Here is a 26,982-nt window from a genome sequence, read left to right on the forward strand (position 1 = left end):
CACCCTCAAGTAGGCCCCAATGTCTAGTGTTCCCATATTTGTGTCCATGTGTACTCAATATTTAACTCCCACTTATAGGCGAGAACATGTGGTATTTGGTTGGCTGTTCCTGTGTTAGTTTCCTTAGAATAATTTTTTTTTTTTTTTGAGACGGAGTCTCACTCTGTCACCCAGGCTGGAGTGCAGTGGCACGATCTCAGCTCACTGCAAGCTCCGCCTCCCAGGTTCATGCCATTCTCCTGCCTCAGCCTCCTGAGTAGCTGGGACTACAGGTGCCCCCCACCATGCCCGACTAATTTTTTGTATTTTTAGTAGAGATGGGGTTTCACCATGTTACCCAGGATGGTCTCGGATCTCCTGACCTTGTGATCTGCCTGCCTTGGCCTCCCAAAGTGCTGGGATTACAGGTGTGAGCCACCATGCCTGGCCAGTTTCCTTACCTTAGAATTTAACCTGGAGCTGGATAGCCTCCAGCTCCATCTGTATTGCTGCAAAGGACATGATAGTGTTTTTTATGGGTGCATAGTATTCCATGGTAAATGTATGCCACATTTTTTTATTCAGTTCACCATTGATGGACACTTAGGTTAATTCTGTATATTTGCAATTGTGAATAGTACTGTGATTAACATATGTGTGCATGTGTCTTTATGGTAGAATGATTTCTATTCTTTCGGGTATATACTCAGTAATAGTATTACTGAGTCTCAGGGTAATTCTCAGGTTCTTTGAGAAATCACCAAACTACTTTTTACAATGGCTGAACTGATTTACATACCTACCAGTAGTGTATAAGCATTCCCTTTCCTCTGCAACATTGCCAGCATCTATTTTTTGGCTTTTTAATAATAGTCATTCTGACTGGTATGAAACGGTATCTCATTGTAGTTTTGATTTGCATTTCTCTAGTGATTAGTGATGTTGAACATTTTTTCATGTTTGTTAGCTGTGTGTATGTCTTTTGAGAAGTATCTGTTCGTGTCCTTTGCCCTTTTTCTTTTTAAATGAGGTTGTTTGTTTTTTGCTTGTACATTTGTTTAAGTTCCTTATAGATTCTGGATATTAGACGTTTGTCAGATGCATAATTTTCAAACATTTTTTTCCCATTCTGTAGGCTGTCTATTTAGTCTGTTGATAGTTTCTTTTGCTATGCAGAAGCTCTTTAGTTTAATTAGGTTCCACTAGTCTGTTTTTGATTTTGTTGCAATTGCTTTTGGCATCTTCATCATGAAATCTTTCCAAGGTCCTGTGTCAGAATGGTATTTCCTAGGATTTTATAGTGTTTTTTTTTTTTTTTCTTTTGAGACAGAGTCCTCCTCTGCTGCCCAGGCTGGAGTGCAATGGCATAATCAGGGCTCACTGCAACATCCACCTCCTGGGTTCAAGCGATTCTCTTGCCTCAGCCTCCCCAGTAGCTGGGATTACAGATGCACACTACCACGCCTGGCTAATTTTTATATTTTTAGTAGAGACGGGGTTTCACCATGTTGGCCAGGCTGGTCTCGAACTCCTGACCTCATGATCCCCCTGCCTTGGCCTCCCAAAGTGCAGGGATTACAGGCATGAGCCACCACACCTGCCCTCTTCCAGAGATTTTATAGTTTTAGGTTTTACACTTAAGTCTTTTATCCATCATGGGTTGCTTTTTGTTTGTGGTGAAAGGAAGGGGTCCAGTTTCAATCTTCTGCATATGGCTAGTCAGTTATACCAACACCAGTTGTTGAGTAGGGAGTCCTTTCTCCATTGCTTGTTTTTTTGGCTTTTTTGAAGATCAGATGGTTGTAGCTGTGCAGCTTTACTTCTCTGCAGCCCTGGAAGGGTGGGAAGTTCATCAAACCTAGTTCACAGGTGAGAAACTAGTATATTAAGTGAGGTTCAAGTACATTAAGTCACTTACAGGAAGCAGTGGAATTGGGTATTGAGGGCAGGTCTGGCTGACTCCAAAGTCCATTTCTTTTCACTCTATGTAGCTCATCTCTTTTTCTATAAAATGGAAGACTTGGACCAGATGAGCCCCTTCCAACTTTGCCATGCATTGTCCTCAGAATTGGTGGGAACTGGTTCATCTCCTTAGCCCTGGACCCCAGAAAAGGAGTGAGTTGAAAGAGGGATGTCACAATGCACCTAGAAATGCTACCAGGCAGGTTGTGGGGAGCTCAAGAAAGCCACCTGGGCCAGGAGCGCATATATGCAGACCTTTATGTTTGGTACAACCTCAATTTATAGTACATATAGATATATAGATGAAAGACACAGGAATGTTGACAGTGGTCATATCTAGCCATAAGCATATGTTGGAGAGGAGGATCACGGGAAGACATGAGCCCTGCATCTCAGCATATCTCCATCCTGCACCTTAACATCACAAAGTCAAACCCCAATTTCCCGTGGGAGGAAATATGACTCTGGAAATGTAAAAAACATGAAACAAACCAGTAAAGTATAAAAGATAAGTCACAATATTATTTGTTTTGAGACAGTGAAAAACCATCTTTTTCATCAAAATAAAACTAAAAACACAGAAAACCGATGAGTACCATCTTGAGAGAACTGTTACTCTTCCCTCAGCTTGTGTTGCTCCCAGCCTATGGCAATTATGGGTTATTTCTTCTTCTCTACCTCCCTCCTTCCATTTCTTCCTCTCTCTTTGTTTCTCTTTCTCCCTCTCCCTCTCTGCCTCCTCCTCCCATCTACCTACCCACCTCCGACTCTCTCACTCATATATTTTCCAAAAGGAGTATTTATTAATAACTTCCTAATAAGGAAAAAAATACCTTGAAAACTAGTTTTGTTTTGAGACAGGGTCTTGCTCTGTCACCCAGACTGGAAAGCTAGCTTTATAAAATAAAATGAAGGTGCCAAGACTTGAATGCAGGGTTGCTGTGCTCCAAGTTCACTGCCCATTCTGACGATGGGGGTTTGGGGGATCAGGGATTGGCCACTGACTCACAAGCCTGAGAGAGGGGGCCTTGCTGGAGCAAGCTGGGGCAGGCAGAGTCCTGCAGCTTCAGCAGGTGGCTCGGCCCCACCTGCCTGGAGCTGCATTGTGATCTGCTTCTGTTGCAGTTTGTGGAGAATTATGAGACCCTCGTGTTTTACTGGCCCTCGCTGCTGTGCCTTGCCTTCCTGCTGGGCCGCTTCCTGCATATGTTTGTCAAGGCTCTGAGGGTGCACCTCGGCTGGGAGCTCCAGGTGGTGAGTACTAAGTATGAGCACTGCATGTGCTGGTGGGTTTAATCTCTACAACAGCCAGAGAGGCAGGTACTGTTACTACACCTCACATTCTGAATTCAGAAACTTGGATGCAGAGAGGTGAGTTGAGTTGCCTGAGGTCACCCAGCTGTGAACCCTGAAAATCTGAGACAAGTCTCAGTTAATTTAGAAAGTTTATTTTGTCAGAGTTGAAGACACGTGCCCATGACACAGCCTCATGAGGTCCTGACATGTGCCCAATGTGGTCAGAGCACAGTTTGGTTTTATACATTTTAGGGAGACATGAGACATCAATCAACATATGTAAGATGAACATTGGTTCAGTCTGGAAAGGCGGGAAAACTGGAAGGGGCTTCCAGGTCATAGGTAGATGAGACAAATGGTTTCATTCTTTTGAGTTTCTAATTAGCCTCTCCAAAGGAGGCAATCAGATATGCATTTATCTCAGTGAGCAGAGGGGTGACTTTGAATAGAATGGAAGACAGATTTGCCCTAAGCAGTTCTCAGTTTGACTTTTCCCTTTAGCTTAGTAATTTTGGGGGCCCAAGATATTTTCCTTTCACATGGCTAACCTGTAGCAGAGCCAGAAATGGAACCTAGACAGTTCAGTTGTGGAGCCTCTTCCTTAACCACTGTCAAACACAGCCTCTTTGGCATGGGGCAAATTCAACAGTGGGGTGTAGCGGGGAGGAAAAGACCTATCTTGACCACAGCGTGGCTAAATCCAAAAGAGCAACTCCTACCCCCAATCTGGCCCTCCGTGGCCATTGCCCCCTCTTAAGATCAAAACACTAACAAGAATTTGTGAGCCAAAGTGTAAGCCTGTCTGCTCTCTTACAGGAAGAAAAATCTGTCCTGGAAGTGCACCAGGGAGAGCACGTCAAGCAGCTCCTGAGGATACCCCGCCCTCAGTAAGCCACAGTTCTGTTCATTCACCTGCAGGTTTGCTCCCACTCTGGTGAGCTCTGATGATGCGACAGAGCCTGGGATGACCAGAAAGGCACTGTAGTGGTCAAGACTCTCATTTGCTAAATACAGAAACCCAACTCAAACTGGATTAAAGCAAGAAAGGAAATTTATGGGCTCCCATCACTAAAAAGTCTAGAGGTAGTCAGTTTCAGGCAAGCTGGATCCAGAGGCTTAATTGATATCATCAGAACTAGGTCTCTCTCCCTCAATCTCCCCTCAGCTCTGCTTTTATGTGTGGGCCTCACAGTTAGGTGGGATTCCTCCACATGGTGGTGCCCAGACTCTCTTAAGTTTATACCCTCCTGGTTTAAGCCCAGAAGAAAGACGAATGCTCCTTTCCAGTTATTCAAACAAAAGTCCCACAAATGTATTTCACTGGATCAAATTGGATCACACGCCACCCCAGAACCACTTACTGTGGCAGTGATTGTAGTGCACTGATTGGCTAAGCCTGAGTCACATGTCCCTCCCCTTCCCGTGGAGCCAGGAAGTGGGATCAGCATCACTTACCCACTAAGACCCAGGGTCAGAGAGTGGTGGTTCCCCAAATTAAAACTGAGGTGTTAGGCCGGGCATGGCGACTCTTGCCTGTAATCCCAGTACTTTGGGGGGCCGAGGCGGGAGAATCACTTGAGCTCACAAGTTCAAGACTAGCCTGGGCAACATGATGAGACCCCCGTCTCTACAAAAAATGAGCAATTTAATCAGGTGTGGAGGTGCACGTCTGGTCCCAGCTACTTGGGAGGCTGAGGTGGGAGGACCACTTGAGTTGAGAGGTCAAGGCTGCAGTAAGCAATGACCACGCTACTGCACTGCAGCTTGGGAAACAGAGCGAGACCATGTATCAAAACAAAAACAAAAGAAACAAACAACATAAAACTGAGGTGCTGTTACCAGTAGAGGAGGATATAGATGTTGTCAGGCAAAAGCAGCAGATCTTAGAATCATACAAGCCACCACCACATCTGCTCCTTTTACTATGCATGTGGGCATATGTCCCAGTGAAGGGATGTGTCTGGTCCATGGTCACACAGTGGCAAAGCTAGTACTTTGGTTAGAATTCAGTTTGGCTACATGTAGTAGAAAACCACAAATAATAGTGGCACAACCAAGAGAGAGATTTATTACTTTCTCTTATAAAAAACTCTGAAGGTGAGCAGTCCATCCTGACCCTGGACTGCCCACCATGGCAGTTCACCAGTCACCTGTCTTTCTGTTCTAGCATCATGTATGTGCTTTCCATCCTCAGTGCTGTCTCATGGTCCAATGTGGCTGCTGGAGCTCCAGCTTGGACCAGCCACCACATCTGCATTTCAGACAGCAGGCAAGGCAAGACAAGGCAGCTTTCCCAGCTGCGTTAGTTCCATCTGAGCAGCCTCTCCAATGTTCCACACCACACTTGTGGTCACATGTCATTAGCCTGGATTTAGTCTGGTCACTCGTAGCTGCAAGACAGGTTGGGAACTTTAATCTTTTAGTTTGGTGAATTTCTGCCCAAAATAAAATCCAGTTTTTGTCCTTAAGAATAAGGGGAGAATGAAAACCATGGAAGCTAACAGTGTTCTCTTTCTATAATATACTCTAAGATTAAAAAGAAGGTGGGGTTATTTTCAGATGAATCAGGCATTCATTTTCCTACCAGCCTCTCATCTCTTGATATTTATTTCTTATCCACAGAGAGAAAAAAAAGTCTTGGTTCCAAACCAGGATATATGAGTGGGATCCCTGCTTTCAATTTCCAAGCAGAATGATTGGAACCATTGTGTTGGCATTCATCTGCCTGTATCTTGTAAGTAGCTCTAAGAAAACCTTTTTATATTTTATAAATGGGGCAGGGTTGGGGATGGGGTTATGGAGTCTTTGAGGCAAGCAGCATGTTCCTAAAGAGCTGGGTCAAAATTGAATCTTGATAAGTCAAAGAAGTACAATGCTTCAACCCCACCATTTTGATTCCAAGGACACTTTTACCCACATGGTGAATATGACTAGTAAAAATAATCCACAAAAAATAAAACTATAATGGTTAAAATGCCACATGGTAAAATTTATTATCAACTAAAACCTGATAGAAGAAAAATATATTTAAGAATATTTTGATATGCAAAATTTGAGCCAGGAAAGTTTACTTGGTAGAAATAGTCATCCCTAAAGAAAACTTACAATAGTAGAATCTGTGATCAATAAATTTTTCTGTGAGCAAAAATCAAATCATTTAAATGTAAAATAATTGATTCTAAAAAAATAATTTCAATTCTTTTTCAATAATTGAATTTAAAATTATTGAACTTATTATAAATTAATAATTGAATTTATTTTAATTGAATTAAAAATAAAAGCAGATAACTAGAATTGGTTTACCATACTATATTTTTAAGCAGATTAAACATTCTTTTTTAAGTTTGCTTTCTCAACAAGACATTTTAAGTGCTGGCATAATTCTGACTTCAATATTTTATTAAGAATAGAATCAAAACATTTTGTGTGGTCAAAGTTATCTGAGATAAAATGGCTGAGTTAAAAGTAGGGTCAAAATGGATGCATAAAAATGGCAAGGCTAAATTGTCTTCTGTTCATTTTAAATGTAGTAGGAGAATACCTATTTAAGTAAATCCTGTGATTAAGTTTTTAGGTGAGTGTATTAGGTAGGTTATGCTGAAGTGCCAGATAACCTCCTAAATTCCTGTGGCTTAACAGTATATATTTTTTTACCCACACAACAGTGGTGAGTTCAGTGTTCAGGTAGGGGAAGCTGCACTCCTCTGTGTGGTCGTTCGGAAACCCAGAATTCTTCCATCATGTGCCTTCACCATCCTGGAGGACCTCATCACAATCTGCATATAGTCAACAGAAAGGGGCAAAGCAAGGAGAGATGCTTGTGGAGGGTTTCCATGGACTAGGTGTGGAAGTATCATATATTCCTTCTACTCCTCTTCTGTTGGCAAGAACCTAGTCATGTAGCCATACCCAATATAAGGGAGGCTGGGAAATGTAGTCTAGCTCTGTGCCCAAAGAAGGGAGAATGGATTTTAAGGGACAACTATAGTTCTGTGTAACAATGAATAACAAATTTGGGATTACATTGTTTCTTAAGTATTTATGGAATATCTACTCTATGCCAAGCACTGGACTAAGAGTTGGAAGAGGGCAGAGAGCTGATTCAGCTCAGTCCTGGGCTGGGAGAAGCTCATGGTCTATGAGAAGGAGATAAGACATGGTATGAGGGACCTGCCATCTTAAGAGAGAAAAAGGATAAAGTGAAATGCTCTGGAAGTTTAGCAAATCATTCAAGATCGAGCAGGTGCATGAACATGATAGTGTATGAGCTCCACTTTCAGAGATAAACGCGATTAGGTTTGTGAGTGAACTGGCAGCAGGAACTATAGAAGCAATGGCATGACAACAGGATGATAAGAAGTTGGGCAACCATGACATTTGTACAAGAAATATTTGTACATTTCTCCAGTGTGGCTCCTGCAAAGATCAGTGAAGGGGATCAGTGAGATAGGGCTGGAATTGTCCCCCAGATCACCCCTTACTCAAAGTTAGTCATTCTTTTTTTACTGGTTCCATGAATGTTTGTAGAGTTTCTTGAGCCCTTGTGGGCCCTTGTCTTGTTTGCTGGAGGATAAAGAACAGACCTTGAAGTAATTTCTGTCTCCCAAAAACTCAAAATCCCATTCATCTTAGAATAGTCAATGTCTAGAATCATTTTCAGAAGAGTTTTGAATGCCTAGAAGACACTGGCCTTGACCCCAAAGGAAAATCCATATGTTATTCCCATGCTGAGTTGGACTCAGGTGAGACCTGGAAACCTTTGCTCTGTGTCCCCAGTTCATTGTCATCGAGTTCTGCGTGTTTGTGTACGTGAGAGATGAGTTGGATGTGCTTGAAAACAACCTGGAAAGCTACATCACCTTCACGAACCATTCAGGGGTCCTGACCCCAGTCATCCTGCAGGTGAAAGAGCTGATCAGTGTCACCAAAGGTAAAACCATAAGCCACCTGTTCTCACACCTGTGTGGGAAACTGAGAGAGGGGCTTGTAACTGATGGCAGGTGGACACGTGTAGTATTTGTGGCTGCTAGCATTGATATACCTGGCTGGGATGACCACACTTGGAGAAAAATGTGTTAGAGCTGATTTACCTCCCTGGATTGACTAGAAAGACAAAGGGGTCAAGACACAGTCGTTTCTTTAATGAAGCTGGAGCTGAAATGAACATGCCCTGAAAATTTTCTCATCTTAAATTGCCCATTTTGTCTCAATGCCAATGGCAAGTACTAAAATGATTCTATATTTTCCATTTGGAAAAAAATAAAACACCAAACCTTGACCTTTCTTTATGAAATGTTTATTTATATCTTTCAAATTTTACTTGAAAGTCACTTAAAAATAGATCTCTTTAACTTAATCTCTTGTCTAACTGAAATTTTGTATCCTTTGACACACATCTCCCCAATCCCACCCCCCTACACACACCCCTGCTTGCCCCTGATAACCACCATTCTACTCTGCTTTCATGAGTTCACCTCTTTTAGATTCCATACGTAAGTGAGATCATGCAGTATTTGTCTTTCTGTGCCTGGCTTATTTCACTTAATGTGATGTTCTCCAGGTTCATCCATGTTGTCACAAATGGCAGGATTTCCTTGTTTTTAAAGGCTCAGTAGTAGTTCATTGTATATAATGTATAACACATTTTCTCTATTCATTTATCTGTTGTTGGTCACTTAGGTTGATTCCATCTGTTGGCTATTGTGAACAGTGCTGCAATGAAAATGGTAGTGCAGATATCTCTTCAATATACTGATTTCATTTCCTTTGGATATATACCCAGTAGTGAGATTGATGGATCACATGATAATTGTATTTTTAATTTTTTGAGGAACCTCCATACTATTTTACAAAAGGTTGTACTAATTTACATTCACACTAACAGTATACTAGAGTTGTTTTTTCTCCACATCCTTGCCAACACTTATCTCTTGTCTTTTTGATAGTAGCCATTCTCACAAGTATAAGATGATACCTTGTTGTGGTTTTGATTTGTATTTCCCTGATAATTAGTGGTGATGAACATTTTTTCATATACCTGTTGGCCATTGGTATGTCTTCTTTTGAGAAATGTCTATTCAGGTCCTTTGCCCTAGGCAATAAGAAAGGCACTTTATCTTAAAATGGAAACTTTCTTTGAAAATGACATATTTGAGTGTTATGTCTATTGCCTGTGGAGGGATGAGAATTGTTCATTATTCCCAGATGAGAAAGGACCCTAGACAAGATGCCTGGATACGTTCACTCTGTGTCATAAGACAAGTCAGGACCCCTCTCTTGGCCCCAGTTTCCTCATCTGTGAAATCACATATTTGTGTCATGGAAAGTTACCTTTTACATGAGCACTGAACAGATACTGCCCCTTCCGCAGTACCATAGTTTACTGTTGCTCTTCAACAGTTTTATTCATCTTCAGTGGAGATTTATGTTCAACATAATGAGTCCCTGAGTATAACACTGAGAGAGTATATTATAATCTTTAATTTCAGTGATACCCATTCTAAATCTTACTTTTAGAAATACACATTTTCATCTCTGTTTTCGGAAAAAATTTTAAAGGAAACTTCACTTTCTTGGTCTCTGTGCTTTATGGTGAATATATCACCATGTTCACTCATGTTTTGATGTATTTATCACACATACAGACATTTTGAGAATCAAAACATTAAATTTTTCTTTATCCTGGTCTCTTCCAGCTTTAAAACAGCTACCCATTTGCCAAGAGAAACTTTCAAGCTGACCATACTTCACCTTTGCCTGGGAAGATAAAGGCATTAAATTAAATGCATAAGGTGTTCATGCTGTTAGCTGGAGCAACTCTGCACTCACCCTTCTTGTAGCCAGACTCGTCTCATCCTTCCCTTCCAAACACGTTTTCCCTGCATCCTCTGGGGTAGGATTTATGGCAGTTTTGGGTTGGTTGAGATTTGGAATGTAGCACTTGCCTAGTCCTAGTGATCCTGGGACAAGGACAAGGACACATTTGGAACTTGAAAGGAAAGGAAATCTACTTTCATTTTCTTTCTTTTTAAGAAACTTTTTTTTTTTTTCCAGAGAGGGTATCACTCTGTCACTCAGGCTCAGAGGCATGATTATGGCTCACTGCAGCCTCAACCTCCCAGGCTCAGGCAATCCTCTCACTCTGCTTCCCAAGTAGCTGGGACCACAAGCACATGCCACCACACCCAGCTAATTTGCTGATTTTTTTGTAGAGACAGGGTCTTGCTATGTTGCCCAGGCTGGTCTCAAATTCCTGCAATCAAGCAGTCCTCACACTTTGGCCTCCCAGAGTGCTATGATTACAGATGTGAGCTACTGCACCTGGCCTTGAAACACCTTTATGGAGACATAACCCACATTCCATACATTCATCCATTTAAGTGTACCATTCAATGGTTTTTAGTATTTTCTCAAGATTGTGCAACCATTTAGAACATTTTTCATCACCTCCCCAAAACATCATGACCCATTTCCCTCCAACCTTTCCTGTCCTAAACAACTATGAATCTATTTTCTATCCTTATGGATTTGCCTATTCCAGCTCTATCATAGAAATGGAATAATGTGATAATGTCATCTCTTTTTCAAATTTATTTTTTAAACTGACTTCTAAAATTGTATGCATTTATTCTGTAAAACATAATGTTTTGAAGTATATATCATTTTAAAATGGTTAAATCTAGCTAATTGACAAATATATTACCTCAAATAGTTACAATTTTTGTGATGGAACACTTAACATTCATTCAGCATTTTTGTAGAATATAATATATCATTATGAACTATAGTCACCATGTTGTACAATAGGTCTCTTGAACTTATTCCTTCTATTTACAATACGTCACCCTTTGTGACAGGCTTCTTTCATGTAGCAAGGTTCATCCATATCACAGCATGTGTCCAAATTTTTAAATTATTTTTTATTCCTTTTTATTGTCAATTACTGTTCCATTCTATGAATATACATTTTATTTATTCATTCATCAGTTGATAAAAATTTGGGTTGCTGTAACTTTTTGACTATTACAAATAAGACTGCTAGGAACATTCATGTACAAGTATTATATATTTTTTTTTTTTTACATATTTTGGGTATATATCTAGGAGTGGAATAGCCGGTTAAACACATGAAAACTCTATGTTTAACCTTTTGGAGAACTGCTAGACTGTTTTCAAAAGCAGCTGTATCACTGTTTAGTCTCACCAGCATTGTGGAAATTCCAATTTCTCCACATCCTTGTCAACACTTATTATTATCCATCTTTTTTGTTTATAGCCATCTAGTGGAGATGCAGTGGAATCTCACTATTGTTTTTATTTTCATTTCTTTAGTGGCTAATAATGTTTGGTATCTTTACATGTACTTTTACACGTACTGGCCATTTGTATATATTCTTTTGAGAAATGTCTATTCAGATTCTTTGATGATTTAAAAATTGCATTATTTATTTATTGAGCTGTAAGTGTGCTTAATAATTTGTATACAAATCCCTTATGAGATACATGATTTGAAAATGTTTTCTCCCATTTTGTGGGTTACTTTTTCACTTTTCTTGATGATATCTTTTGAAACACAAATGTTTCCAATTTCGATGAAGCCAAACATATCTGTTTTTTCTTATGTCACTTGTGCTTTTGGTGTCATATCTAAGAAATCATTGTCTAACCCAAGGTCACAGGGATTTTTCTCATATTTTCTTCTAAGACTTTTTTAGTTTTAGCTCTTACATTTAGGCCTTTGATCCATTTTGAGCTCATTTTTATGTATGGTTTGAGGTAGGAGTCTAATTTCATTGTTTTGCATGTGAATATCAAGTTGTTCCAGCACCATTTGTCAAAAAACACATTTTTGCCCCATTGAATTGTCTTGTCATCTGTGTTGATAATAAATTGACCATAAGTATGAGGGTTTATTTTGGATTCTCAATTCTATTCCATTGATCTATTTGTCTGTCCTTATGTCAGTATCACAGTGCCTTCATTACTGTAACTTTGTAGTAAGTTTGAAATTAGAAACAGCAAGTCCTGTAATTTTCTTTTTCTTTTACAGAATTTTATTGCCTATTCTTGGTTCCTTCAATTTTATATGAATATTAGGATTAGCTGGTCAATTAATGCTAAGATGGCATTTGAATTCTGATAGGGATTGAGTTGAATCTATAGATCCATTTGTGTAGTATTGCTGTGTTAACAATGAATATCCTATATGTGAACATGGGAAGTCTTCCCAGTAATTTATGTCTTCTTTAATTTTTTTCAAAATCTTTTGTGGTTTTCAGTGTATGAGTTCTACATTCTTTTGCTAAATTTAATATTATTATTTTTGATACTATTGTAAATGCAATCATTTTCTTATTTCATTTTCAGATTGTTCATTGCTTGTGTATAGAAATACAATTGACTTTTATATATTTCTTTTGTGTTCTATAAACCTTACTGTACTCATTTATTAGTTCTAATAGTTTTTTTGTATATTTCCTGCTTTTTCTATATATGAGATCATGGCATTTGTGAATAGAGTTTTATTTTTTCCTTTCCAATCTGGATGCATTTTATATTCTTTTTCTTGCCTAATTGCACTGGCTCAAACCTCTAGTACAATTTTGGCTAGAGGAGAGTAGATATGTTTTTTTGTTGTTGTTGTTGTTCTTGAGGTTAGGGGGAAAGCATTCAGTCTTTTACTGCTAAGTATGATGTTAGCTGTGGGTTTTTAGCAGATGCTCTTTATCAGGCTAAGGAAGTTATTTTGTATTCCTAATAGGTTGAGTAGTGTTTTGTTTTGTTTTGTTTTGTTTTTAATTGACACATAAAAATTGTACATATTTATTAGATACAATGTGATGTTTAGATATGTATATACATTGACTGATGATTAAATGAGTAAACCCATCCCCTCAGACATTTATCATTTATTTATGGTGAGAACATTCGAAATCCTGTCTTCTAGCTATTTTGAAATATACAACACATTATTGTTAACTATAGTTTCTGTACTGTGCAACAGAACACCAGATGTTGAATGTTTTTAATTGTAAAGAGATGTTGGATTTTGTCAAATACTTTTTTTGCACCTATTGATAATCAACTTCTACACAAGTTTTTTTTTTTTTTTTGAGACGGAGTCTCGCTCTGTTGCCCAGGCCGGACTGCGGACTGCAGTGGCGCAATCTCGGCTCACTGCAAGCTCCGCTTCCCAGGTTCACGCCATCCTCCTGCCTCAGCCTCCCGAGTAGCTGGGACTACAGGCGCCCGCCACCGCGCCCGGCTAATTTTTTGTATTTTTAGTAGAGACGGGGTTTCACCTTGTTAGCCAGGATGGTCTCGATCTCCTGACCTCATGATCCACCCGCCTCGGCCTCCCAAAGTGCTGGGATTACAGGCGTGAGCCACCGTGCCCGGCCTCTACACAAGTTTTTAAACCAACAAATCATCCTACTTCCCTGTTTCTACATCCCTCTCTCATGAACGCACACAATCTCTCTAAAAGCAAATTAGATTCTCAATATCAAAACTTGCTGAAGGGTGGGTGAGTGAATAGCCAAGACATCTTGATCCCAGCTATCTTTGTACCCGGTTGAGGTATAACCAACATCCCTCCCAAAAAAGTGGCAATTAGAGGTCAAATATGTTTTTCATGCACAGAGGCTATGTATGATATGTGGGAAATACTCCATAACTTTTCTTCCTTTCTTCACTGTAGAGCGAAAATATTAGTACAAAATGAGAGGAGTATGCAGGAACTATACTAAGCGTGTGTGCAGCTAAAATAAAACAGAAAATGAGCAAAAGTTTACTTACACAAGAAATGTGTTAAAGTCTACTTGATTTGCTTAGAACTTTCTGGTGCAGGATTCCGCATTTTTAAAAATTCTATTTCATGTTTATTTTTCAAGGCTTCTCATATCACTTTTCATATTTCAGGAGTCTGGGTGGCGACCATTTTGCCCGCGTATCTCACGTGTGTGAGCTATCTGTTCCACATTTTGGTCTGTTACAGGTAAGAGTACTCTCAGAGTCATTTGTTTGTCTTTCACCAGGAATATGTATGACAAGCTTTCCTCAGAATCTCCAAATAGTGCCTGCAGTGGGCCTAGGAAGTGAATGCAAGGTCCAGGACTAACCACATCTTTTAGTAGGAAGAAGAAAAGCATTATTGATTTGAACTTCTACAATGAGCTAACATTATGCTTAGAGTCTTCACTTGAATTTCACAACAACCCTGAGGGATAAGTACTTTCATCCCTATTTTTACAGTTGAGAAAGCTGAAAATCAACCAGATTAAATAACTTGCCCAAGCAATTAGCAGATGATCAAGTCTTTCTGACCCCAGAGACCTTGTTATTTCTTGTACACTCAGACACCTCTATTGGGTATCAGACCTGCCTTGCTCTACAGGGCTAGTAACACTGGGTCCCCAGCAGGTGAATCTGGCTCAAGGGAACATCAGTGAATATTGAATCAAGGGGACAAAGGACATCCATCTCAAGAAAAGCAGTATAGGAAGAGGGAATGGCTTTAAACATGGTGTGAGCATTTGCACGCAGATATCAGTTGGGTTTTAGGTACCTGCTGGTCACCTCTCTCTCTCTCTCTCTCTCACACACACACACACACACACACATGCATGCACACACGCACGCACACACACACAGTCTTACAGGAAGCCCAGGCCAATATCCAGCTCTGAAGAGCATCCTGCCTTTACATCCTCCTCTTATGCCTGCCCAAAGGGTGAGTCTCTTGCAGAGGACACCCACAAGAAGACTCTCCTGGCATGAAGGGTCCCAGCTCTCCACCAGCCCTGCCTTGCTCCCTTTCTCTACTTTCTTCTCATTGGACCCCACAGGTGGTCTGGATACTGCTACTACCTCTGCCCTGCCTGATGTGTGCACATGTCTCCTCCTTCCCTCATTAGTCTGCATGTGGCTGGGAGATATTCACTGAGACATTTGAGCACAACCAGGGACAAGCACGATGCAAAGGAAGCTGCATGGACATGGATGTGTGGCCAAGGGCACAGGGAGAGGAGGCCTGCATTCCCGTCCAGGCTGCCCTTGCCCCTACCTGTCACCCAGGAGTGATGATGCCTGCCCTGCTTCCTTATCAGAACCATGGGGCAGAGGACACCAAGGATGAGAAACACACTACAAACTGTAGAGCACTAGCATTGTGTCAGCATTGTAGTTTTTATTATTCCAACCTACATACAGGTGCGTTAAAAAATATTACAAAAAATGTTTAGCGTAAAGTAAGTCTTCCTCCTACTCAAACCCCTAATTTTTTGCCCTAAGATAACCACTGTTAACTGTTTTCTGTGCATACTTCCAGAAATTTTCCATGCACAATGCAAATATGAGTGTGTGCTCTGTGTGTGTTGTATGTATTGGTGGTACCACACTCAACTCCATGCTGCCAAACAGAAACAAAATGAAATTCACATGTTCAATTTTGAAAGTTCTAGTAGCCTCTGTTTAAAAACTAAAAATAGACAGGTTACATTAGTCTTAATAATGTTTTATTTAATCCAATATATCTCAAATATTATCATTTCAACATGTAATATATACAAAAATTATTATTGAGATATTTACATTCTGTATTTGTTCCAAGTCTTTCCAATTTAGTGGTCATGAAAAGTACAAAACAGGCTGAAAACTGCTGGAGAGAGAATGTGAAATTAAAAAACTAGGACACAAATATGAGTATAGACTATGAACATAATGCTGTCAACCTCACCTTTATGCACAGGGCCAAGGACTGGGCTAGAACATTGAAAAATGAAGCTGTGACTTGTAAGGGGTGGGATTGTGAGGGGTTGTTTCCCCTTTTTCATTTTCCTTTACATTGTTATAAGGTTAGGCAATCAGTGAAATTGGTTTTCTGTTTTCAACTTTATTTATTTATTTATTTATTTGACAGAGTCTTGGTCTGTCACCCAGGCTGGAGTGCAGTGGCGTGATCTTGGCTCACTGCAACCTCTGCCCCCGAGGTTTAAGTAATTCTCCTGCCGCAGCCTCCCGAGGAGCTGGGACTAAAGGCACGTGCCACCACAGCTGGCTACGTTTTCAACTGTCTTTAAATCTTACTACATAGGTAATACATATTCATCATAGAAAAATAAGAAAATATAGAAAGAAAAATACGCCAGGTGCAGTGGCTCACACCTGTAATCCTAGCACGTTGGGAGGCCTAGGCAGGAGGATGGCTTGAGTCCAGGAATTTGAGACCAGCCTGGGCAGTATAGTGAGACCCTGTCTCTACAAAAAATTAAAATAAAAAAATTAGCTGGGCATGGTGGCATGTGCCTGTAGTCCCAACTACTTGGGAGGCTGAGGTGGGAGGATCACTTGAGCCCAGGAGGCAGAGGTTGCAGTGAGCCAAAATGGTGCCACTGTACTCCAGCCTGGGTGACAGAGTGAAACCCTGTCAAAAAAAAAGAAGGAAGGAAAAAAGGAAGGAAGGAAAGGAAGAAAGAAAAGAAAAGAAAGAAGAAAGGGAGGGAGGGAAGGAAGAAAGAGAAAGAAAAGAAAGAAAAAGAGAAAGAAAAAGGAAAGAAAGGACAGAAAGAAAAGAAAAAGAAACAAGCCACACGTAATCTCATCTATCAGATTCAGTCACCATTATGACTCAATAAATACATATTATTTTTACAAAATATAATCTAGACTAAAGATCAAGACTTTTAATGCAGTCCTGGGGCTACCTGGTGAGCTGCAATCAGCACAGGGAGGCTAGGGTGCATACCATCAGCCCCGCAGGCCTTACTGTGCTATCTATGGGACTCCAATTATGCACAAAGAGCCATCAGTTATGGGTACTACTTAATGTCCTACGTCTTTTCCAGAAAGCACATGAAGAGGCTATGGGCAGGAGATAAACATTTTCTTCCTTTGAAGTTCCATAACCCGGCCTCGTCGGAGAGCATGGTGAGTCTGCCAAGGTCTCTCTCTGATCTGAGACTAAGCCATATGCCAAAACCTGAGGGTGAGCATGACACCTGCCTCACTGGATTGGTGGGTGAACTTCCAATGAGAAAGGGATGCTGGGCACATGTTGCAGAGGTGATGAAGTTTTCCTCCTGCTCTGAGACCCCTTTTTTCCTTTTAAACCTCAGGTGGCCATTGCAAGGTACTCTGGCTGGCAAATAGCCTATATTCTGTGGGGTAAGTGCCGTTATGTGACCCATCCAATTCAGCACACATCCCTTCATCACCTAGGAAGTCCTGGCTGTGAGTGGGGAGGAGAGAGGTGGTCAGAAGCAGCCCTAGCCTCTGCCCTTGAGGGACCTTCAGGACAGAAGGAGAAACATAGTCTCGAGGTCCTCCTCACCACCCGTCCTGAACCCAGGGAGTTCATATGCTAAGGGTGGTGGTGACCCAGAGAAGAAAGTGACTATCCAGCCCCAGGGCAGGGCTCAGGTGCCTTCTAGGGGAGTTGACACTCGAACTGCACCTGGCAGGTAGAGTAGGACGTGAACAGGAAGGAATGTGAGGCCTTGCCAGTAGAAGAAACAGATAAGCAAGCGTGCCAGGGTGTCTGGCGGGAGGAGGGTAGAGGGTGGCCTGCAAGGAGGGGTATAGGGGGTAGCTCACGAAGGACCTTGAGTTACCACTGGCTCCCTTCACTCCTAGGCTACCTCATCATTCACATGGTACAGAGCCTATGTGGCATGGCAATCATGTACAGCCTGGTGCTACCCATCGTCCAAACCAGGGCCTGGAAATGCTGCAAGGGCTGGGCATTGGGATGTAAGTGCTGGGCGGGTATCCTGTCATTGACATGTTCTGAGAGCTGGGGTCCCCCCAACTGCTATGTGGACCCATGGTCTTGGCCCTGACCCAGAGATGGGCCATGATAGTAACTCATGGTGGGGGGAAACAGCGTTCACAAAAGGCTGCCTCTCACACCATTCCACAATGCCCTCACAACCATGTATGGGGTGGGGGATACATATGTCCATTTTCCAGCTGGGAAAATTGAGGTTTAGGAAAGTAAAATGAGAGGCAAGACAGTATGATGGAAGGAAGCAGGGAATCCTGGCAAAGCTTTTGGATCTGCTGTGTGACCTGGGGTAAGTTATTCCACTTCTCTGCACCTCAGTTTACATATCTGGAAGACAAAGTAATGTTGGCTTCATTGAGCATTTAGTATGCATCTTTTCTCATAATAGCCTATGAACTTGGTGCTTGTGTTACCTTCCATTTTGCAGACCAGGGAACAGAGGCACAGAGAGACTGAGCGTTTCCTCCAAGCAGGGGGAGGACTCAGGATTGGGAGCTGGGCAATCTGAAACCAAAGCCTCCTTTTAGCCACTGCCTCTCATTGCCACTCCAGGGGATGTCAACACAGCATGCAGTGCTCTCTGGGGCCCCTCCCTGCTCTGAGCTTCTTGATTCCATACTTGCCTCGAACCACCTGTGAGTTGGGGGCAGAGCCTGTCCTGTCCACTCTCTTGTGGTCTTCTCAGGAACTTCCAAGAACTGCATTCCATTTTTTAATTCCCAACCTGTTAAACTGCTCACCCAGCTGCCACCCCTGATGAAAGGGACATCAGTGAAATCCTGGAGTAATGGTCTGTGATCTGGAGCTAGAAGACCTAACCATGTGGTCTTGGGAAGGTCACCTCCCCTTTGTAAGCCTCAGTTTTCTCCTCTGCACAATGGGCGTGGGAATGCCTTGTAAGTGTAAAGCATGGAACTCACATTACCATTGTCCTGCCGGGTGGTCAACCTGTCTCCCCTCTCTCACTGGGCATCAGAGAAGGATCTGGCAGAAGGGAAAAGGCTGCCTCAGGATGGCCCCACCCTGTGTTTCAGCCTTACAATATCCATCGTTGTGGGTCTCATGATCCTGCAGATGTGTATCGCTGCCAGCTTCTTCCTACAGCCAAAGCTGGGCACGGCTGACAAGCAGAAGCCCCTGGCTCTCAACAACAGGTGACAGTGAAGGAGGGAATGAGGGAATTGTAGGCCTTTGGCTTCAGCCATCTCTGGGTCCTTCCCTGTCCCCCATGACAGATTCCTGGGCAGGCTCTACACTCTGAGAGGGTGAGGTACAGTGGGTCAGTGGGGGGCTCTGGAGCTGGACTGCCGGGGTCCAGATCCTGGCTCTACCCCTTAGGAGCCATGTGACATGTGGGAGCTTACTCAGCATCTATGAACCTCAGTTTCCCCATTTACAAATAATTGTGCATACCTCAAAGAGGCATTGTGAGGATGAACTGTGTTAAAATATGAACTTAGAACAATAGTGCTCAGCACGTGGAAATCCTTTCTAATTCATTCATTCAAAGCCATCCATTCATTGGGGGAACAACATGGGCATGAGGGTAAAGAAATAATCCCAACGCAATCTGCCTGTGAGAAGCTCAGTCCACTGGAACAGACAACAGGCACATAAACAACAAGGACAGAGGATGCCAGGGAGTGCAAAAGGAATACAAGAGAAACCCGGAGGAGGAGAGGCGAGGGTGGTTAATGCCACTGCAGATGGGACTCTGGAGCTGAGGTCAGCAGAATGGTAGGATTTCTACAGGCAGAGAAGATGAGAGGGTATGGCCGGCAGCCAACACCGCAAGGACAAAGGCAGGAAGCCACAAAAGGTCAGGATGTGTTAGAAGAGTGAGAATCGCAAATGGTTGCCATGCAGTGGACTTAGTGAGTGACAGGAAGGGGACACAAAGTGACAAGACCACACCCCTGGGGGCAGTGAGGGGGCTGAAACTCAGGATGCAAAGTTTGGGCTTTATTCCAGAGGCAACAGGAAACCACATGATCAGGCGGTCATTTGGGAAATTTCCTTTGGAAGACTTTGGAACAGCTGCAGCTAGGAATAGGTCCCTCGTGCAACAGACAGTGGGGAAGCCCCACCCTCTGCCATAATCACTGACCCAGCTGCAGCCCTGTGAAATTCCTTATCATGCAGGAAGCCTCAAACTCCAAGGATCGCATGAAACAATGACTGTCCCCACTGACATACATTCTTCACTGTGCTCAGTGGCCCCCACACTGTACCTGAGCCATTCCTCACACCAGTGCTGTGAGGTGAGGGCAATCAGCTCCCCTTTATGGCACGAGGTCACAAAGCTTTGAGCCTGGACCTGTAGGATTTGACCCTGGGTCTGGGGGACTCCAGAGCCTACCTGCCTAGCAACCTTGCTCTACTGAAAGGTTGAAAGGTGGTGCCTTGGGCTGGCTTCTGTTTGCAGGAAAGCGTTCCACAACTTCAACTACTTTCTGTTCTTCTACAACGTGCTGCTGGGCCTGGGTGCCTGCCTTTCCAGGCTGCTCATCAGTTGCCTCCTCGGCATGTGGCTGATTGCCCGCATCGACAGGACCATCATGCAGAGTGGCTATGAGGGAGCAGACATGGGTAAGTGACCAGCACCCACCTGGCCACATCCTCTGGAGAGGGCTGGTCTTGCACCTCTGTGGCAGCTGCCTGGGAAGACGAGTATCAGAGGCCCAGAGTTCATGCCTTTCATTTATGCTCAGAGTTTATCTTCCAGCAGAGGCTATAAAGCTGAGTAGTAAAGACACATGCAGCCCCCTGGTCAAAAGAGAGTTCAAGGCTATTAAATTCCTGCCCATTTGGCAGACCTTTGGGGTATACAGGAAGAGTAGTCAAAGGTAGTCAAATTCTGTCTGAACACTTAGAAGTTAATTTATGAATGCACAGCTCTGAAAATTTTTAGGAAGAACATATCTCAGAATTATTAGTGTTGTTAGTTGGAAACAGTGCAGAAGATGTTCCATTCAGTTGAAATGCTGCAAATTCAAAGCCATTTCTGAGGAAGCAAAAGTAGTTTTTGTTCTGTTTTGAGCCCACAGTCATTCATTCACTCATCTATTCAATAAATGTACTGATGCTTGCTTGGGATTAGCCACAGCAGCTCCTAACCCTTTGAGCTTTGAGCTCCCCATAAAATGGGCAGATTAGAATATGATCTCTAAGAGTCCTGCAGATCTTTATACCTCATTTTCTAGATTCTCAGAAAAGACTCAGGCACCATTGGAGAGCAAACTGGCTCTGCAGTTATATCTGAAAAGCACAAATGGGGCCATGTCAGGAGGTACTGCCTGGCCTGACCTGCCTCTGAATTTCAGGGTTCAGTGCATGGATTGGGATGCTCTACATGGACCATTATCACATCAACCCTGTGCTTGTCAGCTTTTGCCACATCCTGATCACAAATCACAGGGAGAAGAAGCTGCAGCAGAGCACCAAATACTGGTGCCTAAATCAATCGGCAGGTAACGGCTCCTGTTTGAACCTACGCTGGATTCAGACCCCAGGAAGTAAATACCCTGAGGCTCCCTGGGATCCCTGAGGTGCCCCAGGTTCCGCTTTTCCTGCTCCTTTTCTCTATACTCCATGCCCTGGGTGCCCTTGAGCTAGGAAGCCCAGGAGGCTTAGCTCCCAGTCAACCTGACGATGGGACCCACTCAGGCTTTGTGTCCTTGTCCTGTTAACTGGTCTCCTGCCTTGTTCCTGGAAGTGAACTCTAGCTCTGCTAGTGGAGTTCTCCATATCCCATGTGTTTGAGTCTCCAACCCATATCCCAGGCTACATGGCAGATGTCTTCCAAGATGAGGCTACATTTTGATGATTCTGCCCTGCTGCTTACCACAAGATCTCTGAGGCTCTCTGCCTCTCTAGGGCTCAGACTGTGTTCATTGCTATTCCCAACACTGCAGATACTCAATTCTAAAGGACAACTTACATCCCTTCAACCTCCCTCATGTCTGCAGGAGTCCCAGTCTCACATGAATGTGCCACATCTTACACATTCCAGGCAGCCCTTTCAAACACTTTGGAGAGGGAGTTCCCCTCCCTGAGACCCCTCACTCCTTCAGTCTGTCTGCTCTGATTCTATCCTAGGTCCCCATGTCTCAGCTAGGTCCAGAACAAGGTGGTTCCTGTTGCAGACCCTAATCGACAACCCAAGACTCACCATGCACAGAAAATTAAAATTAGGGCACAGTTCCCAGGAGTCCCAAATTCTGATGGCATGCTCGGAGAGCTGACGCTGGCCCCCATCATCTGCTCCAAAGCCAGGCTAGGACATCTGCCACCAAGAGAGGGCTCAATCTAACCAGCAGCTGTCCCCTGCAATGAAATGGGATGGCACAGGCACCATCCATGCAGATGGCAGACAACAATGGTCACTCATGGGATGGCCACCTGGGCTGAGGGATGAAGTTTCAGGACTATTTCACTCCCTTGGCAAAAAAGATTAAAAAACTAAAGAAAAGTCTGTTGAACAAACTTTACCCATTAATGACTTCCACTATCCATTGTGGGTAGGCAGCCTTGGAGAGTTACTTGTTAAAAAGCACTTAGTTTACCTACAAAGCAGAATTTTATGTCACTGGAGAAGGTGGTAAAATGTGTACATCAGGAGAGTTTAACCATCAGATCCTAATTTTTCTCTGGAACAGAATGTGGATTTCAATCTGACAGTATCCTCATTGCTTTCTTCTTGCCAGGCTTTATGGTGGATGGAAAAAAAGGAAATCCATGATCCTGGTCCCCAGTGTTTTTAGACAAGCAGGCACACAACAGGCTTTCTCTCCCATTGCCACTGAGATGAGGAATGGATCAGAGCTAACTTGGGCATTAGTCATAAAGCAGATGCACAGATTCTCTCTAATAAGGGTGGGATTACTTGGAAAAGCCACCTGTCTGAAGATACAAAGACAGGGTAGGCAGGTATTCCAGGTGGGGGATCACAAGAGTAAAGTTCTGTGAGCAAGCAAGCCCCAAGCATGTTTGAGGAGGGTGAGCCATGTGACATGTCGGGGTACAGAACTCTAGGGGCTGGCCAGGACCATCCCAAGAAGGGCCAAATGTCATGCCAGGAGGCTTGGACATTTGTCCTGTGCAAAGCCCAGTACTTAACCACATTTCATGCTGAAGCACAAAAACCTGGCCCAGGACCTGTACAAAATCTGTCCATTCAAAATTCCTTATGAAGCTTCTGCAGATATTATGAGGATCCCACCAACAAGACAAAGGGGAATCCCCATTCCCCTCATGAATCCAAGAGCAATTGTAATTCAGTTGTTATTGTTAAGCACCTAATGTAAAACCTAGTCCTGTTGCTAGGTGTTTGCCAGCATTGTCTCTTAGTTTAATCTCTGTAACTGAGCTTTATCATCCTGCTTTTTAGAAACTGAGAAAACCAAGACTCAAAGTGTTGGGATTCTCATGCCACCACTTTGTAGGTGTGTGCCAGCAGCTCAATTACTTTGCCTTTATTCACTTTTCTTATCTATAAAAAGAGAGTAATACCCCCTAACACCTAAAATTGTTTTGAGGAAAAAAATGAGTTAATAGAGACAAACACTCTTAAGATAGTGTCTCACACATCCTAAACTCTCAATAGATATTAACTATTATTATTTGTCATATAACACTTCGTGATGATCTGATTAATATCTGCTCACCCCCTCACTAAGATACCAGCTCCATGAAGAAAGAGGCCTTCTCAGGTTTTGCTTACTATCACCAAGCACACACCTATAACATAATAAGATCTTGGAATGAATAAAATAATGAGATCAAGATGAATAATTCTTTTGAGTATGAATTCACTTACCAAAATCAATCCTGGCATCATGGTTTTAATGAATAGTGAGTGAATACCCATGGGAAACCTTGCCGTGAATTGAGGAGGCTAATATGTAAACAGCTGTCTGTGATCCAACCCACTATATGTAATAACATGGGCTTGTACAAAGTTCTGTGGAGACTTGGAAAAGAAAACTACTAATTCTGCCTGTGTAAAGTTAGTGAAGACTTTCCAGAGGAAGTGGCATGGGAGCTGGAATCTACAGGATGTGACATAGGGCATTTCTTATTTGTGTTGGGGAAAAGGCAAGGCATACCTTCCAGCTTTGAAGTTTCCTGGGAGTTTGGAGATCATGCTAGATGAAGACACTCAACATGAAGAATCTTTATTTTGGGACCACTAGGCCTCACTGCTTTCTAGGGATGAGATGAGGTAGACATAGAATGTATTAAGAGAAGCACAATATTCAAAAGAATCCAGTGTCAATCTTAGGTAGTAGAGCTTCAGGACTACCTGCTATACCTTATTCTATTCCCATGCCACCCTCAGGCAGGCTCAGACAAGACACCAAAGGTGTCTGAAGACCCTGGGTAGCCTTCCAGGTCACAGACATGAACACAACCTGAGGGACTTGGGGGACATATCAAAAGAACCAACATACACATTTTATAAGAGTCCCAGTAGGGGAAGAAAGAGAAAAATGAGAAGAAAAATATTTGAAAAAATTAATGGTTGAAAATTTTCCAAATCAGATGAAAGACATGAATCTACACGCCCAAGAAGCTTAATGAAGCTGGATAAACTCAATGAGATATACGCTGAAACACATTATAGCCAAGTTGTTGAAAATCAAAGATAAAGAAAAAAATCTGGAAAGATGCAAAGGGGAAAAGACTCACCACAAGTGAATGGTCCTCAATAAGATTAACAGTGGATATCTTATCAGAAACCATGAAGGGCAGAAGGTAGTGTGATGATACATCTTAACTGATGAAAGAAAAAACTGTCAATCAAAAATTTTATATTTAGAAAATCCTATCCTTTGAGAGAAGAAGAAATTCAGATATTTCCAGATAAACAAAAGTCAAGGTAGTTTTTCACTAATAGACCTGCCATAAAAATATTTTAAGTGAGTTCTTCATGCAGAAGTAAAAGTATATAGTACCTCAAAGCCATATGAAGAAATAAAGATCACTGATAAAGGCAACCTCATTAATAAATAGAAAACCCAGTATTATTGTATGTTTCATTTAGAGTGCCTTTATTTCCTCTATGATTGAAAAAGCAAAAGCATGAATCACTTATGATAAATCTATGTTATTGGGCACACTGTATTAAAATGCAATCTATGACAGTAACTTCATAAAGGGGAAGGGATGAAAATGTATGAGAGCAGAGTTTGTTTATAATTGAAACTAAGTTGGCATCAGTCAAACTAGGTTGTCATAAGTTTAAGATGTTAATTTTAATACCCAAGGTAACAACTAAGAAAATAACTAAAAACATGCAGAAATGGGAAATGAAGATAATCAAAATAGTACACTACAAAAAATCAACTAAACACAAAAAGGCTGAAATGAATGAACTGAAGAACAAATAACATACGAGACATAGAGAAAACAAATAGATAAGTAGCAGAAGTGTATCCTTCCTTCTCAGTAATTACTTTAAATTTAAATGTATTAGAATCATCCAGTTATAAAGCAGGGGTTGGCAGAGAAGATAAAGAACATGATCCATCTATATACTGTCTACCAGAGGCTTATTCTAGATCTATAAACAAAAAAGATTGAAAGTAAAATGATGGAATAAGATATTCTATGCAAGTCATAACCAGAAAAGAGCCAGAATGGCTAGATATTATCAAAACAAAAAGATTTTCAGAAAAAATGGGTTAAGGAGATAAAGAAGTGCATTATATATTGATAAAGGGTTTAACCCACCAGGAATATATAACAATTATAAACATATGCATATATAATATTAGACTCCAAAACATATGAAGCAAAATTGACAAAATTGAAGAGAGAAATAGACAGTTTTACAATAATAGTTAGAGACTTCAATACCTCATTTTCTTTCTTTCTTTTCTGTTTTTTTTTTTTTTTTTTGAGACTGGATCTGACTTCATTGCCCAAGCTGGAGTACAGTGGTGTGATCTCAGCTCACTACAACTTCCACCTCCTGGGCTTAAGCAATCCTCCTACCTCAGCCTCTTGAGTAGCTGGGACTACAGGCATACGCCACCACACCTGGCTAATTTTTTCTTTCTTCTTGTATTTTTTGTAAAGACGAGCTTTCACCATGTTGTCTGGGCTGGTCTTGAACTCCTGGCCTCAAGTGATCGACCCATCTTGGCTTTCCAAAGTGCTGTGATTACAGGCATGAGCCACCGTGCCCAGCCAATACCTCACTTTTAATGGATATAAAAACCAGACAGAAGATTCATAAGGAAATGGAGGACTTGAACAACACCATAAATCAATACATACAAAACACTCTATACAATAACAAAAGAACACGTTTTCTTCTCAAGTGTATATGGAACCTTTTCCAGGATAAACCATATGTTAGGCCCTTTAAAAGTCTTATTAAATTTTAAAAGACTGAAATCATACGATCATCAAGAAGTACATGCAAGCTGCTCTGAAACAAAGCTCATTGGTTTCAGTGACTCATTTCAGGACTTGGTGTTAGTTCACTGGGAGAAAATAGCTGTTTCTAGGCAAATGTCCTGGCCCCAAGTGTCTTATCTGAAATACTGCAGATCAGAGAAAATTTCTGTGATAAGTTCTATTCTGTTATTCTGTTAGCAAGGTGTGAAGGAGATATGCAGGTATTTTAGAATGCAACCATGAGGGCTTCTTCTTTATGGATCCTCCCTGACACCATTTTGGTTAGAGTTTTGACATAAGTGACTCCATTTTGTATTGTCAGCTTCCACATTAGATACTCCCCATGAGGCCACAAGGTACAGGTTGGGAGAGAGAAGGCATTGTAACAAGAGTAGGAACCACAGGCATTTGGACCACTTCTTATAACTTATTTCTGCCTTCAGATCCTGTTCAGGCTCAATCATATACATATGTGTGTGTATGTATGTATGTATATATATATATATATATATATATAACTTCCATTGGATGATGAAGTATTGCTGTGTATGGCAACT

The 26,982-nt window shown here is 41.9% G+C and overlaps 1 long non-coding RNA gene and 2 pseudogenes across 4 annotated transcripts in view, besides 2 other annotated features; all 3 read left to right on the plus strand.

Moving 5' to 3' along the window:
* SUGT1P4-STRA6LP (SUGT1P4-STRA6LP readthrough) overlaps positions 1–23,812 on the plus strand; it is a 58,889-nt pseudogene extending 35,077 nt beyond the window's left edge. Inside the window, exons 5-16 of the transcript NR_036526.1 lie at positions 3,067–3,195; positions 4,054–4,124; positions 5,860–5,971; positions 8,014–8,167; positions 14,158–14,233; positions 17,082–17,163; positions 17,352–17,400; positions 17,869–17,985; positions 19,054–19,173; positions 20,445–20,608; positions 21,343–21,489; positions 22,118–23,812. The product of NR_036526.1 is annotated as an SUGT1P4-STRA6LP readthrough (transcript). The remainder of the gene's footprint in view (positions 1–3,066; positions 3,196–4,053; positions 4,125–5,859; positions 5,972–8,013; positions 8,168–14,157; positions 14,234–17,081; positions 17,164–17,351; positions 17,401–17,868; positions 17,986–19,053; positions 19,174–20,444; positions 20,609–21,342; positions 21,490–22,117) is intronic.
* The window catches only part of SUGT1P4-STRA6LP-CCDC180 (SUGT1P4-STRA6LP-CCDC180 readthrough), a 138,870-nt gene that overhangs the window by 35,077 nt on the left and 76,811 nt on the right, over positions 1–26,982 (plus strand). For 2 of the 3 annotated variants that reach the window (NR_036528.1, NR_036527.1), the window contains exons 5-14: positions 3,067–3,195; positions 4,054–4,124; positions 5,860–5,971; positions 8,014–8,167; positions 14,158–14,233; positions 17,082–17,163; positions 17,352–17,400; positions 17,869–17,985; positions 20,445–20,608; positions 21,343–21,489. This is a non-coding gene — a long non-coding RNA (SUGT1P4-STRA6LP-CCDC180 readthrough). The remainder of the gene's footprint in view (positions 1–3,066; positions 3,196–4,053; positions 4,125–5,859; positions 5,972–8,013; positions 8,168–14,157; positions 14,234–17,081; positions 17,164–17,351; positions 17,401–17,868; positions 17,986–20,444; positions 20,609–21,342; positions 21,490–26,982) is intronic. The other variant, NR_036529.1, reaches the window with a different exon arrangement.
* STRA6LP (STRA6 like, pseudogene) lies at positions 17,351–20,609 on the plus strand (annotated as a pseudogene).
* Positions 21,623–21,800: a silencer, noted in NCBI's record as "fragment chr9:100057407-100057584 (GRCh37/hg19 assembly coordinates)". NCBI's record gives its function as "represses an EF-1alpha promoter that drives an FKBP-Casp9 reporter gene in an ReSE screen in phorbol 12-myristate 13-acetate-treated (for megakaryocytic differentiation) K562 erythroleukemia cells {active_cell/tissue: K562(+PMA)}" and the evidence as "EXISTENCE:reporter gene assay evidence [ECO:0000049][PMID:32094911]".
* Positions 26,462–26,561: a silencer, noted in NCBI's record as "silent region_20098". NCBI's record gives its function as "represses an Ori minimal core promoter by ATAC-STARR-seq in GM12878 lymphoblastoid cells {active_cell/tissue: GM12878}" and the evidence as "EXISTENCE:reporter gene assay evidence [ECO:0000049][PMID:35858748]".

This window comes from Homo sapiens, chromosome 9 (genome assembly GCF_000001405.40).
Source record: "Homo sapiens chromosome 9, GRCh38.p14 Primary Assembly".
Lineage (NCBI taxonomy): Eukaryota > Metazoa > Chordata > Mammalia > Primates > Hominidae > Homo > Homo sapiens.